This window comes from Homo sapiens, chromosome 17 (genome assembly GCF_000001405.40).
Source record: "Homo sapiens chromosome 17, GRCh38.p14 Primary Assembly".
NCBI classification, from domain to species: Eukaryota; Metazoa; Chordata; class Mammalia; order Primates; family Hominidae; genus Homo; species Homo sapiens.
The window spans coordinates 39,504,370-39,523,391 of NC_000017.11; the positions used below are offsets into that span (position 1 = coordinate 39,504,370).

The window sequence follows — 19,022 nt, forward strand, 5'->3', positions numbered from 1 at the left end:
AGGAAAATATGAATGCAAGATAGGCAGGTTTAAGAAGGGAGTGGTGATTGATGTCAGATGATGCAGGCAAATTATAAGAGAATCTGAAAATTAAAAGGTCAGTAGTGATAATTAGTGTGGAGTAAGGGGTTGAGTAGCACAGTTAATGGGAAGGTACTGGTAGGGGGTGTCTTTAATTTTTAATTTTAAGGATGGCAGAGATTTGAATATATTTAAATGCTAAGGGGAGGCCAACGTGGTGGCTCACATGTGTAATCCTAACACTTTGGGAGGCTGAAGTGGGCAGGTCACTTGATGCTAGGAGTTCGAGACCAGCCTGGCCAACATAGCAAAATTCTGTCTCTACTAAAAGTACAAAAATTAGCTGAGCTTGGTGGTGCACGCATCTAATCCCAGCCACGTGGGAGGCCAAGGCATGAGAACTGCTTGAACCTGGGACACAGAGGTTGCAGTGAGCAGAGATTGCCACCACTGCACTCCATCCTGGGTGACAGAACAAGACCCTGTCTCAAAAAAAAAAAAAAAAAAAACGCTAAGGAGAAAGAAAATCTATAAAAAGGGAGCAGTTGAAGATTTGGGGGCCAGGCGCAGTGGCTCACACCTGTAATCCCAGCACTTTGGGAGGCCGAGGCGGACGGATCATGAGGTCAGGCGTTCAAGATCATCTTGTCCAACATGGTAAAACCCCGTCTCTACTAAAATACAAAAAATTAGCTGGGCATGGTGGCGCATGCCTGTAATCCCAGCTACTTGGGAGGCTGAGGCAGCGGAATCACTTGAACCCAGGAGACAGAGGTTGCAGTGAGCTGAGATCGCGCCACTGCACTCCAGCCTGGCAACAGAGCAAGACTCCGTTTCAAAAAAAAAAAAAAAAAGGCCAGGCGCGGTGGCTCACACCTGTAATCCCAGCACTTTGGGAGGCCAAGGCGGGCAGATCACGAGGTCAAGAGATCGAGACCATCCTGGCCAACATGGTGAAACCCCGTCTCTACTAAAAATATAAAAATTAGCTGGGTGTGGAGGTGCGTGCCTGTAGTCCCAGCTACTCAGGAGGTTGAGGCAGGAGAATCACTTGAACCCGGGAGGTGGAGGTTGCAGTGAGCTGAGATCGCACCACTGCACTCCAGCCTGGTGACAGAGCGAGACTCCGTCTCAAAAAAAAAAAAAAAAAAAAGATTTGGGAAAGAACCAAAATAATTTAAAGGAGCATATTTCTAGAATAGATGGGATCAAGGCCACAGATGGAGGGATTGATTATCCTTGGTCAAGAAAAGAGATTGACATGCTTTTTATGTACCATTGACCGTTGAACAACGCAGGTTTGAACTGTGGCATGTCCACTTATACACAGATTTTATCCAACCAAAAACAAATAAAAAACAGTGTTTGCAGTATATGCAACCTGTTTATATGGAGTACCAGTGTTTCATATATGCAGGTTCTATAAAGCGTACTGCAGGACTTGAGTTTGCTTGAATTTTGGTATATGTGGGAGTCTTGGAACCAATTGCTAGATATACTAAGGGATGACTGTAATTAAAAGGAAAGAGGAAAGTAAAATTATAGATGGAAGTAAGTTTACTGGTAAAAGGTAGGATGTTAAGGACCTCTCACCTAATGACTTTAATTTTTTCACTGAAAAAGGTCATTTACTAAGTAAGTGTAAGAGGGTAGGGGATGGATTAGAGCATTAAGGAGAATGCCAGAGGTCTGTAATGACAGCCATGTTGAATGGAAGTTGCTGATTACAGACAAGTAAAAGGACTAACCAGCAGCATTCAGGAATTAACAGAGAGAGGAAATCACACATTTTGCAGTGACACCATACAATATGATTATATGATTTTTTTTTTTTTTTTTTTTTTGAGATGGAGTCTCACTCTGTCACCAGGCTGGAATGTAGTGGCGCTATCTCGGCTCACTGCAACCTCTGCCTCCCGGTTCAAGCCCTTCTCCTGCCTCAGCCTTCCGAGTAGTTGGGAATACAGGCGCATGCCACCACGCCTGGCTAATTTTTGTATTTTTAGTAGAGACGGGGTTTCACCATGTTGGCCAGGCTGGGTCTCAAACCTCTGACCTCAAGTGATCCACCCACCTCAGCCTCCTAAAGTGCTAGGATTACAGACGCGAGCCACCACGCCTGGCCAATTATATGATTTTTATTCTTTACACTTGTGTTCAGCTCTCTAGGTAGAGCAGAAAAGACAGATTTTCTAATGATCCAGAATTAGGGACTTAGGGATTAGCTATATCACAAGCTAAGGCAACGAGGAAGACAATAGTTTGGTTAATTAACCAAGGGGTCCAGGTAGGCAAGGGAAGGAAGTATTACGTGAAAGAGGGCTGAACTGGGAGTGAGTGGAGGCACTGTGTACTTGAAGTTCTTCTCAAAAGGCAAAAATGTTAAACCATGGTCTCAGAAAGGATTCTCCAGATATTTCTATATTCACCTTATTCCTTTGAGACAGGACATAAACAATATGATGGCACTTCTTTTGTATTGTATTTTATTTTGTTTATTTACTTATTTTATATTTTATTTTTTGAGATGGAGTCTCACTGTGTCACCCAGGCTGGAGTGCAGTGGCACAATCTCAGCTCACTGCAACCTCCGCCTCCCAGGTTCAAGCGATTCTCCCACCTCAGCCTCCCAAGTGGCTAGGACTACAGGTGTCTGCCGCCACGCCCAGCTAATTTTTGTATTTTTAGTAGAGACAGGGTTTTACCATGTTGGCCAGGCTGGTCTCAAACTCCTGACTTAAGTGGTCCGCCTGCCTCGGTCTCCCAAAGTGTTGGGACTACAGGCGTGAGCCACTGCGCCCGGCCTGTTCTATTTTATATTGCAAAAAGTTACAAGTACTTCCACACTTCATACTGAGTCACCTTAATGGTTTAGTTGGAAGGAAAAGTGGGAGTCAGTAAAAGTGCTATCAGCGGCCGGGCGCGGTGGCTCATGCCTGTAATCCCAGCACTTTGGGAGGCCGAGGCAGGCGGATCACCTGAGGTAGGGAGTTCAAGACCAGCCTGACCAACATGGAGAAACCCCATCTCTACTAAAAATACAAAATTAGCCGGGCGTAGTGGCACATGCCTGTAATCCCAGCTACTCGGGAGGCAGAGGTTGTAGTGAGCCGAGATAGCGCCATCGCACTCCAGCCTTGGCAACAAGATTGAAGCTCAGTCTTAAAAAAAAAAAAGTGCTATCAGCAGGTTCTGTAGCAGACTAAATTCGTTTAATAAACATTTATTTAGTACCTAGTATGAGCCAGGCAGGAAATATGTTAGATGCTGGTGATATTCAGGTCTACACTGATTTCTGTAACTATATATCCATTTCCATTTTGACTTTCAGTCCTACTATGTGCCTTGAATCTTACATAATTTCAGGCTTTCAGAGTAAGGATGCCAAGTAATTTGAGGAATCATCTTTGTCTTAATATAAGTTAACTATTTCTTGTTGCTTTTCTCACAATTTGCTTATAAATTGAACTTAATGTAATGGTGTTTGGGGCAAGTGGATAAGGTACCTTTAACTTCACTAGGAATAAGCATTGATTTAATGTAGAAGTTTGTTGCTAGTAGTTACCTTGTTTTAATATTGTCACATGTCCATATTTTGGGGAGCACCTCTTGGCCTCTTTTCTGTACTACATGTTGAGTATCCCCTGTGCTTGAGACGAGAATTCTTTTGGATTTCAGATTTTTTTTAGATTTTGGAATATTTACATTATACTTACTGGTTCTGAACATCCAAAATCTGAAATGTTCCACTGAGCATTTCCTTTGAGTGTCATGTTGGCACTCAAAAAGTTTCAGATTTTGCTTCAGACGGCGGGGGGAGAAGGTTCTGAAAAATTTTGGATTTCACATTTTTGGATTTGGATGCACAATCTATATCTCACTTTTTTGCCTGATCTGAACTATTAGACACCTACACCAGCTTCCTATAAGACAGTGAGCTGGCTTTTCATGTCCCAAGAAGTAGCAAGGCTGTAAATATGACTAAACAGGTTACATGAATTTAGATAAATATCATTAATCCAAAGTAGTCAATAAGTAGTTGTTGGGTTTTGCATTGCCCACCCCCTCCAATAAATAAATAGTTTTAAAATAGATTCCCAACATCTCGTCTTGCAGTTTTCAAAAATATTCCTTCATGCAGGAGGAGAGAGAGCATCAGGAAAAATAGCTAATGCTTGCTGGGCTTAATACTTAGGCGATGGGTCAATAGGTGCAGCAAACCACCATGGCACACATTTACCTACGTAACAAACCTCATGTACCCTGGAACTTAAAAAAAAAAATTCCTTTATATCACTGTCAAGGATAGAATACTGAGCAGAGGCCAGTCATGGTGGCCCATGCCTGTACTCCCAGCCCTTTGGGAGGCTGAGGAGGGAGGATCACTTGAGCACAGGAATTTAAGACCAGCCTAGGCAACATAGGGGAACTCTGTCTCTACAAAAAATAAAATAATTAGCTGGACATATTGGTGCACACCTATAGTCCCAGCTACTTGGGAGGCTGAGGCTGGAGAATCACTTGAACCTGGGAGATCATCAAGGCTACAGTGAGCCAGGGTTACACCATTGCACTCCAGCCTAGGTAATAGAGTGAGACTCTGTCTCAAAAAAAAAAAAAAAAAATCAGCAGAGTGAAACATGGTTGGGATCTCCTTGAAGTGATTCTCAAAGCCTGATTCTCAGGCCAGCTGCATTGGCATCACGTATGGGCCTGTTAGAAATGCAGATTCATGAGCCATGTTCTACTGAGTCAGCATCTCTAAGAATGGGGCCCAGGAAACTGGGTTTCTTTGCTTGTTTTTTCAGAGATAGGGTCTTGCTCTATTGCCCAGGCTGGAGTGCAGTGGCCTCCCAAAATTCTGGGACTACAGGTGTGAGCCACCATGCCCAGACTGTTGGCCCTCTTAAGTCTTTCTCAATCTAGAGCAAATCATTTCTTTTTTTTCCCAACAATAAGTATTTAATCTAGCACGTTCTAGGTACTGTTGTTTACCATGAAATAAATTTAGCTAAGGAGTCAAATTCAGAAAATGTAATAATAGTTTTTTTTTGTTTTTTAAGTGTAAGGCATTATAATTGAAGTAGTCAAAAAAGGTTTAATTAGGGGGATTGAGTGTTAAGAGTAGAAGTAATCATGAACTGGGTATTGTATAAAATTTTTTAAAAAGAAAGAGAAAAGAGTAGAACAAAGAGAGCAGAAGTTAAAATTTATTTTTGTAATTCCTTTACCCCTAACTTGGCGCATGACTTTTCAGGTGTATTTTGGAGGCCACTGCTATGGCTTATGAAAATAATTGTTTTTTGTTTTACAGTGGGCAAATCAAACTAGCAGATTTTGGACTTGCTCGGCTCTATAACTCTGAAGAGAGGTAAGGCATTAATTAAAATTACATGTGGGAAATAAGGTTTGTTTTGTTTTGTTTTTTTGAGGCAGGATCTTATTCTGTTGCTCAGGCTGGAGTGCGTGGCTTGATCTCAGCTCGCTGCAGCCTCAACCTCTGTGGGCTCAGGTGATTCTCCCACCTTAGTCTCACAAGTAGCTGGAACCACAGGTGGGTGCCATCACACCTGGCTAATTTTTGTATTTTTAGTAGAGACGGGGTTTTGCTATGTTGCCTAGGTTAGTCTTGAACTCCTGGGCTCAAGCTGTCTACCTGCCTCAGCCTCCCAAAGTGCCGGGATTACAGACATGAGCCACCGCACCTGGGCAACAATCTCTCTCTTTTTTTTTTTTTTTTTTTTTTGAAGACGGAGTCTCAATCTGTCACCTGGGCTGGAGTGCAGTGGCGTGATCTCGGCTCACTGCAACCTCCGCCTCTTGGGTTCAAGAAATTCTCCTGCCTCAGCCTCCCGAGTAGCTGGTATTACAGGTGCCCGCCACTACGCCCAGCTAATTTTTTGTATTTTTAGTAGAGGCGGGGTTTCACCATGTTGGCCAGGCTGGTCTCAAACTCCTGACCTCGTGATTCATCTGCCTCAGCTTCTCAGAGTGCTGGGATTACAGGCGTGAGCCACCACTGCGTCCGGCCAAGAATCTTTTTTATTCCTAGATGTTCTAGTATTCTGCAAGTTGCAACAACTGTCAGAGTTCCCTAATTATCTGAAAGCGTTATCACTTACATTTTAGGCAGCAAATTTTATCTAAATTCTTGAATCGTCCCTTGGCTGGAATAAATAAATTAGAATGGAAGTTATTTTTTTCTCTCTTCTCTTCTCTTCTCCTCCTTTTTCTTTTTTTTTCCTGGAGATTTGCTCTTGTTGCCCAGGCTGGAGTGCAATGGCACAATCTTGGCTCACTGAAACCTCTGCCTCCCGGGTTCAAGCGATTCCCCTGCCTCAGCCTCCTGACTAGCTGGGATTACAGGCATGTGCTGCCATGCCCGGCTAATTTTGTATTTTTAGTGGAGATGGGGTTTCTCCATGTTGGTCACGCTGGTCTCGAACTCCCGACCTTAGGTGATCTGCCTGGCTTGGCCTCCCAAAGTGCTGGGATTACGGGCGTGAGCCACCGTGCCTGGCCTTTTTTCTTTTTTTTTTAATAGGCCAGGCGTGGTGGCTCACGCCCGTAATCCCAGCACTTTGGGAGACCGAGGTGGGTGGATCATGAGGTCAGGAGATCAAGACCATTCTGGCTAACACGGTGAAACTCTGTCTCTACTAAAAATACAAAAAATTAGTGGAGTGTGGTGGCGGGCGCCTGTAGTCCCAGCTACTTGGGAGGCTGAGGCAGGAGAATGGCGTGAACCTGGGAGGCGGAGCTTGCAATGAGCCAAGATGGCGCCACTGCACTCCAGCCTGAGGGACAGAGCAAGACACCGTCTCAAAAAAAAAAAAAAAAAAAAAAAATGAGATCTTGCTGTGTTGACCAGGCTGGTCTTGGACTGGCCTCAAATGATTCTCCCCTTTAGGCCTCCCAAAGTGCTGGTATTACAGGCATGAGCCACCACGCCAGGCATGGAAGTTATTTCTTCATCTCCTACTTCTGAACAGTTTGCTTTTGGAGTGTTAGGTTGCTCTGGATTTGTTTTTCAGTCTCATCTTCATTTGGCACCTATTTCTATTTGCATTTAGTTATGTGAATATTTTTCATCAGAAGCCACTGTAAGTTTATGTCATGGTTGTTTTTTATATTTCAGTCGCCCTTACACAAACAAAGTCATTACTTTGTGGTACCGACCTCCAGAACTACTGCTAGGAGAGGAACGTTACACACCAGCCATAGATGTTTGGAGCTGTGGGTAAGGTTCTGTTAACTTTTTCTTTTGTCTGTAACTTACATACTGTTGACTTGTACTTTGTTTTCTCTGTACACTGGCTTTTTAGAGCTCTTCTTAAGTTCAGAAGGATGGCGATAAACTTTTGGCCAGATTTCCGGGAAATCTGTTGAATATTTCTTAATGTCAGAGACCCTTTTTTTAAAAAACAGATTTCTTCTTTTTTTTTGTTTAAACTTTGTTTGAATTGAGATCCAAATAAGATACCCAAGTAAGGTTCATAGCTTGCAATTGATTACATCAAATCTTTTAATTTTACATTCCCCTTCTGTGTTACCTAATTTTGATTTATTTTGTTTCCTTATAATTTCATTAGAAGAAACTATTTCACTTGTCCTATCCAGCCTTTTATAGTCTGGATTTCGCAGATTGTATCCTTGTGATGATATATATGTATTTTTTAGCATGATTTTTTATCTTTTTGTTGTTTGAGATGGAGTCTTTCTATGTTGCCCATTCTGGAGTCCAGTGGCTGTTCATAAGTATGATCATAGCACGCTATATCCTTGAACTCCTGGGCTCAAGCAATCCTCCTGCCTCAGCCTCCTGAATAGCTGTGACTACAGGCGTATGTTGCCATACCCAGCTTATCTTTTTTACTTTTAGCAAATTGTAAATGGATTAAAGGTTGATTCCTAACCACCCACCCAGGGTCAGGGTAGTAGACCCTGAAACTACTTTACAGTTTGTTTTGAGTACTTCTAACAAAAGTTATATAATAAGTGGTACATCAGAGTTGGAAGGTGGGGAGCAGTGGGAGCCTCTGCCCAGAGAGTACAAGCAGTAAATGAGTATGTTGTCTGTGGAGAATTTTGAAACAACAAAACAAAACAATCCAGTACAAACTAGTCAGCTTTTTATTATGGCCTTATTAGGGCAGTTCTAAATGAGCAGATTTATACACACATACCACTTTACATAATACGTAATTGTCTTTTTTTGGGATGTTAACAGTTACTTGGCCATTGCCCACATCTGTTAATTAATTTGTGGTTATTTTATGATGGTCACATTCTAATTATATCATTTCTTATTGGAATACTTATATAAAGATATCCTCCCATCTGTTTGGCTGAACTCAGGTCTAAATAATATAGAAAAGGTAGGATAAAAGTTAATTCTTTCATTTTATATAACGGTTTTCAAAATAATGAAGTAGTTTCCTAGTATCCTTCAAAGATGACCAATGAAAAATGTTTTTGTTTTTTGGTTTTATTATGAATTCTTGGATTTAAACTTATTTCATGTATTTTAATCCATTGTGGTTATTATCCTTATTCTTGTTCAAACTGTCCAGTCTTTGGCCAGTGGGAGCTTATTCAGGTTATATTTTGAGTCCTTTTGGCACACCATAGTAGTGTTACAGTAGAAAACATCTTGTTTTTGGTTCCAAGCTTGTCCTGTTCATTTCCTGCCCCAAACCTGGAATCATCCATTTCTCTAAGGAGTCTTAGTTCCTTTTACTGGAAAATGATATTTAGAAACTACAGTTTGTGTGTTGGGGCATGGATGTTTTAAATTGGCCATGTTTGTTAATTGTATCTTATGTTGTATGATTTATGCCCAGTCACACACTGTCCTTGACCTTTATACTTTACAATTCTGACATATATACTTCCCAGTGGAGCAAATCACTTCTTTCCATTCTTTTCCTTCCTCTATTAATGTCAGTCTTTAAGAGGAGCACTACAGGGGTTTTATTTTAAAATTCAACAGAATGATGGAGAAAGAGCATAATTTCTGTGGTAGCCTACCCAAATAAAATAAAGCTTTAGTTAAATTTTACTGACTCAAGCTGGGTGTGTTTTTGTTCTGGACAATTTGCTTTAACAGTATTAGCATTTAAATTGTCACAACTAGGCTCTAAAGTTAACGCCCCATTAAGATGCACGAGGAAAGTTCATAGCTCTGTTCGGTACTATTATTTCAGTCTGTGCAGCCTGCCACCTCAGAGCAGTAGCAAAGTGTTGATTACATAATGAAGATGTCTTCCCACCAAAGGACTGGAAACCAAAAGAAAAGAAAACAGAAAAACACAATTGGAAATTAAAACTACATAAAGTTAGACATTCTTCAAAGCCCAGTGGCTCATTGAATTAAGATTTTGTTTGAGTTTTGATGTGAACTTACTACTTTGGTGATTCATGGTAGTCTCTCTGAAGATATTTTTATGGGATTTTTTATAGAGAATTGGTATGACAGTTCAGTGTGCAAATTAGAATCGAGGAGAAACTAGAAAGACTAGTACAGCAAATTATGTCAGGAGTCTGAAAACCTAGTGGTTTTTTTTTCTTCTTTTCTTTTTTAAATGTCTCTGATTTTACCCGCTGTGACGACAACATTGCACTTAGAACTTGATGTGGCAGTTAATGTTGAAAACAGAATTAAATTTTACTTTTTTTTTCTTTTTATAGAGTTGGGATCTCACTACGTTGCCCAGCCTGGTCTCAAACTCCTGGGCTCAAGCAATCTTCCCACCTCGGCCTCACCAAGTGCCAGGATTACAGGCATCAGCCACTGAGCCTGGCCTAAATTTTATTTTCACTTTTCCATCTCTGAATAGGGTTTGAGAGAATATAGGAAGTAAGAATTTGTCTTTGAAGTTGTTTTAACATAATTCGTTTAAAGGTCCAAATTCTAACAGAAAAGTGCTACTTAAAAAGCTAGGTTCGTTTTGCTTTCTCAAATTAAGTCAAACTAAAGAATTTTAAAATAAAAGTATAAATTTGGTTTTGTATTTGTCTCATTTCAAAGCATAGGTCAGACAGATTCATCGACCTTTTTTTTTCTTTCCCCACTTTAAAAAAATGAAAAATTTCAGGCACGTAACAAAAAGTATGGGATATTCATGTAATCTTTGAGATGTGGTCTTCCTATGTTGCCAGGCTGGTCTTGAACTCCTGGCTTCAAGTGATCCTCCTGCCTAGGCCTCCCAAAGTGCTGGGATCACAGACATGAGCTGCCATGCTCAGCCTTTATTTTATTTTGAAATAATTTCAATGTATGGAAAAGTTACAGGAATAGTACAGAAAACTTTAGTATAGCCTTATCAAATTCATTCAATATTTAAACCTATTTTATTGAAGTATAAAATAAACTGCATATATTTTGATATGTTTTGACATAACATATCCACCAGTAAAACCATCAACACAGCCAAGATAATGATCACCCACCACAGTTTCCTTGTGCCCTTTTGTAATCCCTTTCCTCTACCCGTACCCTCCCATTCCCAGGCAAACCACTGTTCTGCATTCTGTCACTATAATTTCTATTTCTAGAATTTTACACAAATGGAATTATATAGTATATACTCCCCCCACTCTTTTAATCAGCATAAATGATTTGAGATTTATTCATGTTAGATTCACTAGATTCTATTAAAAATACAAAAAAATTAGCCGGGTGTGGTGGTGCATGCCTGTAGTCCCAGCTACTTGGAAGGCTGAGGCAGAGAATCACTTGAACCTGGGAGGCAAAGGTTGCAGTGAGTGGAGATAGCACCACTGCACTCCAGCCTGGGTGACAGAGTGAGACTCTATCTCAAAAAATAAAAATAAAAAAAGTCCAACTGATCCTAGCTGATGACAGTAAATTATTTTATTTGAAATACAGTGCCAAGAAGGCTATAGTATAGTGCATCTTCTACAGAGCAGATTAATGACAAAAATGAATTCAAACTTTATAGAAACTAACTGCAGAGAGCATCCTTGTTTATTTATTTTTTGTTAGTATTGTTCTTTAATTTTGAGCAACCTTGTAAAATTGTCTTTAGTTATTTCCTTAATTACAATGGCATGATAGAAAAAGACTCTTGACTCCCTTTCTCTGATCATAGAGTGTCCTTAATAGGTGGCAAAAGTTTGATCTGCTGGCAAATTTAAATTCTTTATACTGTCTGTTTCACTGCAAGAAATATTTTCTCTTTGGAAACTCAGACACTGAAATTTGGGGCTATTTATCTTGGTTGCAATCCGACATATCAATAATGTAAAAATTTTTTGAGACACTTTAAATAGGCTCTAAGAATTTCTCTTCTGACCTCTCAATTTTACCTTTTCTAGATGTATTCTTGGGGAACTATTCACAAAGAAGCCTATTTTTCAAGCCAATCTGGAACTGGCTCAGCTAGAACTGATCAGGTACAGCTGTACATGTGCTCTTGAGTGCCCAGGTGTGATAGGTATTCTCATCCTCCAGTTTCTAACACTTTCTAGTCATTCTGAATGAGTTTATGTTTCTTATGTCCAAGTAAGTTTCTCTTTACTCAGTCAGGTTTACCATATATTTTGTCATAGGCTATACATATAAAGAAGTTTTATTTCACCTAATTTTTAGATCTTACTTTGCATATTTTTTATTAGCTCTTCATATAAAAGCATACCATTTTGGGGATGGCTCTTCCATTCATAGCTCAGATGAGATTAAATTTATTCAGCAAACATTTATTGAGCCTGTTATACAACAGATTACTTTTAACATTAAACTTTAGGATTCAGAGATAAAAAATAGGTCCCCGCCTTCAAAGAATTCAGAGTTTAGTAAGGTATATAGCATGTAAATAGTTATAAAATACAACCTATAATAGAAAATATGGGGAAAGCCCAGGATTGGGCTGGCATTTGGGTGGGTTTGTTTTTGTTTTGTTTTTTTCAATAAAATTAAAGGGAAGAATATAGCAGGCTAATGTTTTTTGTATTTTTTTTTTTAGACAGGGTCTCGCTCTGTCACCTAGACTGGAGTGCAGTGGTGTGATCATAGTTCACTGCAGCCTCAAACTCCTGCACTCAAGTGATCCTCCCACCTTACCCTCCTGAGTAGCTTGGACTACACCTGTAGTCCCAGCTATTTTTCGTTCATTTGTTTTGTAGAGATAGGGTCTCATTATGTTTGTTGCCTGGGCTGGAACTCCTGGGCTCAAACAGTCCTCCCACCTTGACCTCCCAAAGTGCTGGGATTACACACGTGAGCCACCACACCAGCCTAATGCAGACTTTTTTTTTTTTTTTTTTTTGAGATGGAATCTTGCTCTGTCACCCAGGCTGGAGTGCAGTGGCGTGATCTTGGCTCACTGCAAGCTCCACCTCCCAGGTTCAAGCCATTCTCCTGCCTCAGCCTCCCGAGTAGCTGGGACTACAGGTGCCCACCACCACACGCGGCTCATTTTTTTGTATTTTTAGTAGAGACGGGGTTTCACCATGTTAGCCAGGATGGTCTCGATCTCCTGACCTCATGATCCGCCCACCTCGGCCTCCCAAAGTGCTGGGATTACAGGCGTGAGCCACCGTGCCCGGCCAATGTAGACATTTTTTAAAGGTGATAAAGGTGATATTTTTGTTGTTGTTATTTGGTAAACTGTTGATTATCTCTCAAAATTTTCAGTCTTATACTCTCTTCTCATCTCACAGTTTACCCTATAGGGATACTATAGGATCATCTTAGCCCTTTGTAATTACTACTAACTGAACAGAACAAAACTGGTAATAAAAACCTGTATGGGGGGATTAAAACATTTCACAAATCCAAATAATGTGGATCATTTAGGATTATTATCCGAGTATTTTTTCTTTCCTCTGTTATAACCAGTTCTTTCTGTTCTCTGCCTTTCTGCCCTTAAAGCAGTAATGTCATATTTTCCTTTCTGCATGCCCTGTAATGTAATAACCAAAGATTCCCCAGACCTCAGGAGGTAATAATTTCTGCTTCTGAAACCTCCGGAATTCATGATGTTGACTCACTCACTCCATTGTTCTTGCTTTTGCTTTGTTTTCAGCCGACTTTGTGGTAGCCCTTGTCCAGCTGTGTGGCCTGATGTTATCAAACTGCCCTACTTCAACACCATGAAACCGAAGAAGCAATATCGAAGGCGTCTACGAGAAGAATTCTCTTTGTGAGTTTGGGGAAAATGAACATCTCGTTTCTGTGTCTGGCTGGTGTTGGGACTTGGCTTTTTCCTGGTCTGGGTAGTTAATGTTGTCCCAGTTTATCATGGCAACACAGTGTAGGAAAACATTTTAGTTTCGAACAGTATATGAGTTTTATCATAGCCCTTTTGTAATTTTCTCTTCTGAAGGCTTTAGACAATAGAAAACCATTTTATTTTGAACAATATATAAATTTTCTCATAGCCTTCTTGATCTTTCCATGAGAAAAAGAGAATGGAATTGTTGGCTTCATGGGTTTTGTTTGTTTGTTTTTTAAATTGAGACAGGGTCTTGCTGTGTTGTCCAGGCTGGAGTGCAGTGGCACGTTTAGGGCTCACTGCAGCCTTGACCTGCTGGGCTCAAGCAATCCTCCCACCTTAGCCTTCATTTTTTTTTTTTTTTTTTGAGACAGAGTCTCACTTTGCCACTTAGGCTGGAGTGCAGTGGCATGATCTTGGCTCACTGCAACCTCTGCCCCCCAAGTTCAAGTGATTCTCCTGCCTCAGCCTCCCAATGTAGTTGGGATTAGAGGCCTCTGCCACTGCACCCAGCTAATTTTTGTATTTTTAGTAGAGACAGGGTTTCAGCATGTTGGCCAGGCTGGTCTTGAACTCCTGACTTTGTGATCCACCCACCTCTGCCTTCCAAAGTGCTGGGATTATAGGCGTGAGCCTCTGAGTCCGGCCCCACCTTAGCCTTCTGAATAGCTGGGACCACAGGCACCCGCCACCACACCTGGCATTTTTTTTTTTTCCGTGTAGAGATAGGGTCTCCTAATGTTGCCCAGGCTGGTCTTGAGCTCCTGGGCTCAAGTGCTCTTCCTGCCTCAGCCCCCCAAATTGCTGGGCTTAAACTTTGAGAGGCTGAGGCAGGAAGATCACTCGTGCTACCACGCCTGGCCATGTTTTGGTTTTGTTTTCTTCTTACTTTTTTCCCTCTCTGTTATTTTATTTTACTTTTTTTAACTTTAATAGATGGATAGAACTGGCCATATTTTTGTGTGTGTCACCCAGGTTGGAGTGCAGTGACGCGATCTTGGCTCACCACAACCTTCGTCTCCCAGGTTCAAGGAATTCTCCTGCCTCAGCCTTCCAAGTAGCTGGAATTACAGGCACCCGCCACCATGCACAGTTAATTTTTGTATTTTTAGTAGAGATGGCATTTCACCATGTTGGCCAGGCTGGTCTTGAACTCCTGACCTCAAGTGATCTGCCCACCTCAGCCTCCCAAAGAGCTGGGATTATAGGTGTAAGCCCACCACACCTAGCCAGAATTGGCCATATTTTTTACTTGTGTTATAGCACAGCATTTCTCGTTTGTTTGTTTTTGAGATGGGGTTTCGCTCTTGTTGCCCAAGCCAGAGTGCAGTGGCATCATCTCGGCTCACTGCAACCTCCGCCTCCTGGGTTTAAGTGATTCTCCTGCCTTAGCCTCCTGAGTAGCAAGGATTACTGGCACGTGCCACCACACCCAGCTAATTTTTTGTATTTTTAGTAGAAACGGGGTTTCACCATGTTAGCCAGGCTGGTCTCGAACTCCTGACCTCAGATTATCTGCCCGCCTCGGCCCCACAAAGTGCTGGGATTACAGGCATGAGCTACTGTGCCCGGCCCAGCATTTCTTAAATCCTGTGTGGGAGCAAATCTGCTTGCTTGTGTTAGCCAACCTCCAGCTTGCTTTCTTTGGTTTTACATGGAAATTCAAAGACTTTTTTTTTTTTTTTTTTTTTTTTTTTGAGACCGTCTCACTCTGTCACCTAGGCTGGAGGAGTGCAGCAGTGTGATCTTGGCTCACTGCAACCTCCGCCTCCTGGGTCCAAGCGATTCTCAGCCCTCCAAGGAGCTAGAATTACAGGCGTGCATCACCATGCCTGGCTAATGGGGTTTCACTATGTTGGCCAGGCTGGTCCTGAACTCCTGGCCTCAAACGATCCACCCGCTTCAGCCTCCCAAAGTGCTGTGTGGGACTGTAGGCATGAGCCACCATTGCACATCCTTTTTTTTTTTTTTTTTAAAAAGAGATGGGCTCTTGCTCTGTTGCCCAGGCTGCAATGCAGTTGTGCAGTAAGAACTCATTGCAGCCTCAAATTCCTAGGCTCAAGTGATTTTCCAATGTCAGCCTCCCAAATAGCTGAGACTACAGGGTGCACAGCATTGCACCCAGCTAATTAAAAATATATATATATTTGTAGACATGAGGTTTCAGTATGTTGCCCAGGTTGATCTCAAACTTCTGGCCTCACGCAGTCCTACCTTGGCCTCCCAAAGTGCTGGAATTACAGGTGTGAGACCCTTTGAAACAAAATTACAAATTTGAGAACTGTAGGGTCATTGTGAACTTGTCCTTTCTGTGTTCTTTTCCATAGCATTCCTTCTGCAGCACTTGATTTATTGGACCACATGCTGACACTAGATCCTAGTAAGCGGTGCACAGCTGAACAGACCCTACAGAGCGACTTCCTTAAAGATGTCGAACTCAGCAAAATGGCTCCTCCAGAGTAAGTGCTGGTAGCCATGTTGTGACCCTAAATCTTTCCCTGGGCCTTAGACGATGAGAAACTCATAAAAGAACCACAGATGCCCAGTAAGACCCAAATGAAGAGGTGTCTTTGAGTATTATGGTTGAGGTTTGTTTTTTTTGTTTTATCTTTGTTGTTTTTTTCTTTATATAAGTAATAGATTTAGCTTTGATACTTGTTCTAATTTGACTCAAGCTATCTTCTTTTGTCCCTGGATCTCCATCCCAGAATATTGTTGTGTAGAGCCTCTTTGAAAGTATTCCTTTTAGATTTTTGTGGGTTGGTTTATTTATTTATTTATTTATTTTTGAGATGGAGTCTCTGTCGCCCAGGCTGGAATGCAGTGGTGCAACTCAGCTCACTGCAACCTCTGCAGGGTTCAAGCGATTCTCCTGCCTCAGCCTCCCGAGTAGCTGGGACTACAGACACACACCACCACACCCAGCTAATTTTTGTATTTTTAGTAGAGACGGGGTTACACCTTGCTGGCCCAGCTGGTCTCGAACTCCTGACCTCAGGTGACCCACCCTGGCCTCCGAAAGTGCTGGGATTACAGGCGTAAGCCACTGCGTCCAGCGTGTTTTTGTTGTTGTTGTTGTTGTTGTTGTTTTGAGATGGAATCTTGCTCTGCCTCCTCCACCTCCCGGGTTCTAGCGATTCTCCTGCCTTAGCCTTGCAAGTAGCTAGGATTACAGGTGCCTGCCACCACACCCGGCTAATTTTTTTGTATTTTTGTTTCATTTTGTTTTGTTTTTTGAGATGGAGTTTCGCTCTTGTTCCCCAGGCTGGAGTACAATGGCGCAATCTCAGCTCGCCGCAACCTCTGCTTCCCAGGTTCAAGCGATTCACCTGCCTCAGCCTTCCCAAGCTGAAATTACAGGCACGTGCCACCATGCCCAGCTAATTTTGTGTTTTTAGTAGAGACAGAGTTTCTCCATGTTGGTCAGGTTGGTCTCGAACTCCCGACCTCAGGTGATCTGCCCACCTCGGCCTCCCAAAGTGCTGGGATTACAGGCATGAGCCACAGTGCCTGGCCATTTTTTTGTATTTTTAGTAGAGATGGGGTTTCACCATGTTGGCCAGGCTGGTCTTGAACTCCTGCCCATCTTGGCCTCTCAAAGTGCTGGGATCACAGGTGTGAGCCACCGTGCCTGGCCTGTTTGTTTGTTTGTGTGTTTTGAGACGGAGTTTCACTCTTCGCATCCAGGCTGGAGTGCAGTGGTGTGATATTGGCTCACTGCAATCTCCGCCTCCCAGTTTCAAGCAATTCTCCTGCCTCAGCCTCCCAAGTAGCTGGAATTACGCCACCATGCCCGGCTAATTTTTGTATTTTTAGTAGAGACAGGGTTTCATCACGTTGGCCGGGCTGATCTTGAACTCCTGGCCTCAGGTGATCCGCCCGCCTTGGCCTCCCAAGGTGCCGGGATTACAGATGTGAGCTACTGCTCCCAGCCTTTTTTGTTTTTTCCGAGACGGAGTCTCGCTCTGTCGCCCAGGCTGGAGTGCAGTGGCGTGATCTCGGCTCACTGCAACCTCCATCTCCTGGATTCAAGCAGTTCTCCTGTCCCAGCCTACTGAGTAGCTGGGATTATAGGCGCAGGCCACCACGCCCGACTAATTTTTTTGTATTTTTAGTAGAGACAGGGTTTCACCATGTTGGCCAAGGTGGTCTCAAACTCCTGACTTCAGGTGATCTGCCTGCCTCAGCCTCCCAAAGTGTTGGGATTACAGGCATGAGCCACCACTCCCAGCCTTTTTTTTTTTTTTTCCAATTGTAGAAATGGAGTCTCACAATGTTGTCCAGACTGTCTCAAACTCCTGGGCTCAAGTGATTCTCCCGCCTCAGCCTTCCAAAGTCATGGGATTACAGGCAGGAGACACATGCTTGGCCTCCCTCTGGTTTTTGCTCTTAACCATTCCTCCAGCTGTAATCATGCATGTCTCTGGTGACCATGTATATCTCACACTTGCAGAGATAGTCCCAGTTTTTTGGGGTTTTTTTTGTTATTATTTTTTTTGAGACAGAGTTTCACTCTTGTTGCCCAGGCTGGAGTGCAGTGGTGTGATCTCGACTCACCACAAGCGTTTCCTGCCTCAGCCTCCCGAGTAGCTGGGATTACAGGTATGCGCCCCCATGCCTGGCTAATTTTGTATTTTTAGTAGAAACAGAGTTTCACCATATTGGTGAGACTGGTCTTGAAGTCCCGACCTCAGGTAATCTGCCTGCCTCGGCCTCCGAAAGTGCTGGGATTACAGGCGTGAGCCACTGAACCCGGCCAACAGTCCCAGTTTTAAATGGTTTGCATCACTGCCAGTTTTTTTTGTTGTTTTTGTTTTTTTCTGAGACAGGGTCTCTCACTCTGTCACCCAGGCTGGAGTGCAGTGGCACAATCTCAACTCACTGCAACCTCCACCTCCCGGCTTCAAGCGATTCCCGTGCCTCAGCCTCCTGAGTAGCTGGATTACAGGAGCCCGGCACCACAGCTGGCTAATTTTTGTATTTTTAGTAGAGATGAGGTTTCACCATGTTGACCAGACTTGTCTCCAATTCCTGACCTCAGGTGATTCGCCTGCCTCGTCCTCCCAAAGTGCTGTGATTATAGGCGTGAGCTACCGCACCCAGCCAGATTACTGAATTTTGATGTAAGAAATAAGATCTTTCGGTCGAGCGCGGTCGCTCACACCTGTAATCCCAGCACTTTGGGAGGCCGAGGTGGATGGATCACCTGAGGTCAGGAGTTCAAGAGAGCCTGGCCAACATGGTAAAACCCCGTCTCTCCTAAAAATACAAAAAATTAACCAGGTGTGGTGGTGTATGCTTGTAGTCCTGGCTACTCAGGAGGCTGAGGGAGGAGAATCGCCTGAACTCGGGAGGTGGAGGTTGCAGTGAGCCGAGATTGTGCCAGTGCATTCCTGCCTAGACCATAGAGTGATACTCCATCTCAAAAAATTAAAGTAACATAAAAGAAATATGATCTTTTAATATGTCTCTATTTAATTAAAATCTTATGAATGCCTCTGTATTGTATTGGAGCTTCAGAGATTCATATCCCACATTATAGCACATAAAAAGTCTTTTATCTGGCCTGGCACGGTGGCTCATGCCTGTAATCCCAGCACTTTGGGAGGCTGAGGCAGGCAGATCACCTGAGGTCATGAGTTCGAGACCAGTTTGGCCAACATAGTGAAACCCCGTCTCTACTAAAAAATACAAAAATTAGCCAGGCGTAGTGGCGTGTACCTGTAGTCCCAGCTACTCAGGGAGACTAAGGCAGGAGAATCA

At 42.7% G+C, this 19,022-nt stretch overlaps 1 protein-coding gene across 50 annotated transcripts in view; it reads left to right on the plus strand.

Annotated features, from left to right (window-relative positions):
• CDK12 (cyclin dependent kinase 12) overlaps positions 1-19,022 on the plus strand; it is a 106,074-nt gene that overhangs the window by 42,884 nt on the left and 44,168 nt on the right. For 49 of the 50 annotated variants that reach the window (XM_047436256.1, XM_047436261.1, XM_047436260.1 and 46 more), the window contains exons 7-11: positions 5,336-5,392; positions 7,160-7,261; positions 11,362-11,439; positions 13,071-13,187; positions 15,587-15,718. In XM_047436256.1, coding sequence (XP_047292212.1) covers positions 5,336-5,392; positions 7,160-7,261; positions 11,362-11,439; positions 13,071-13,187; positions 15,587-15,718 — 486 coding nt within the window. The remainder of the gene's footprint in view (positions 1-5,335; positions 5,393-7,159; positions 7,262-11,361; positions 11,440-13,070; positions 13,188-15,586; positions 15,719-19,022) is intronic. The other variant, XM_047436293.1, reaches the window with a different exon arrangement.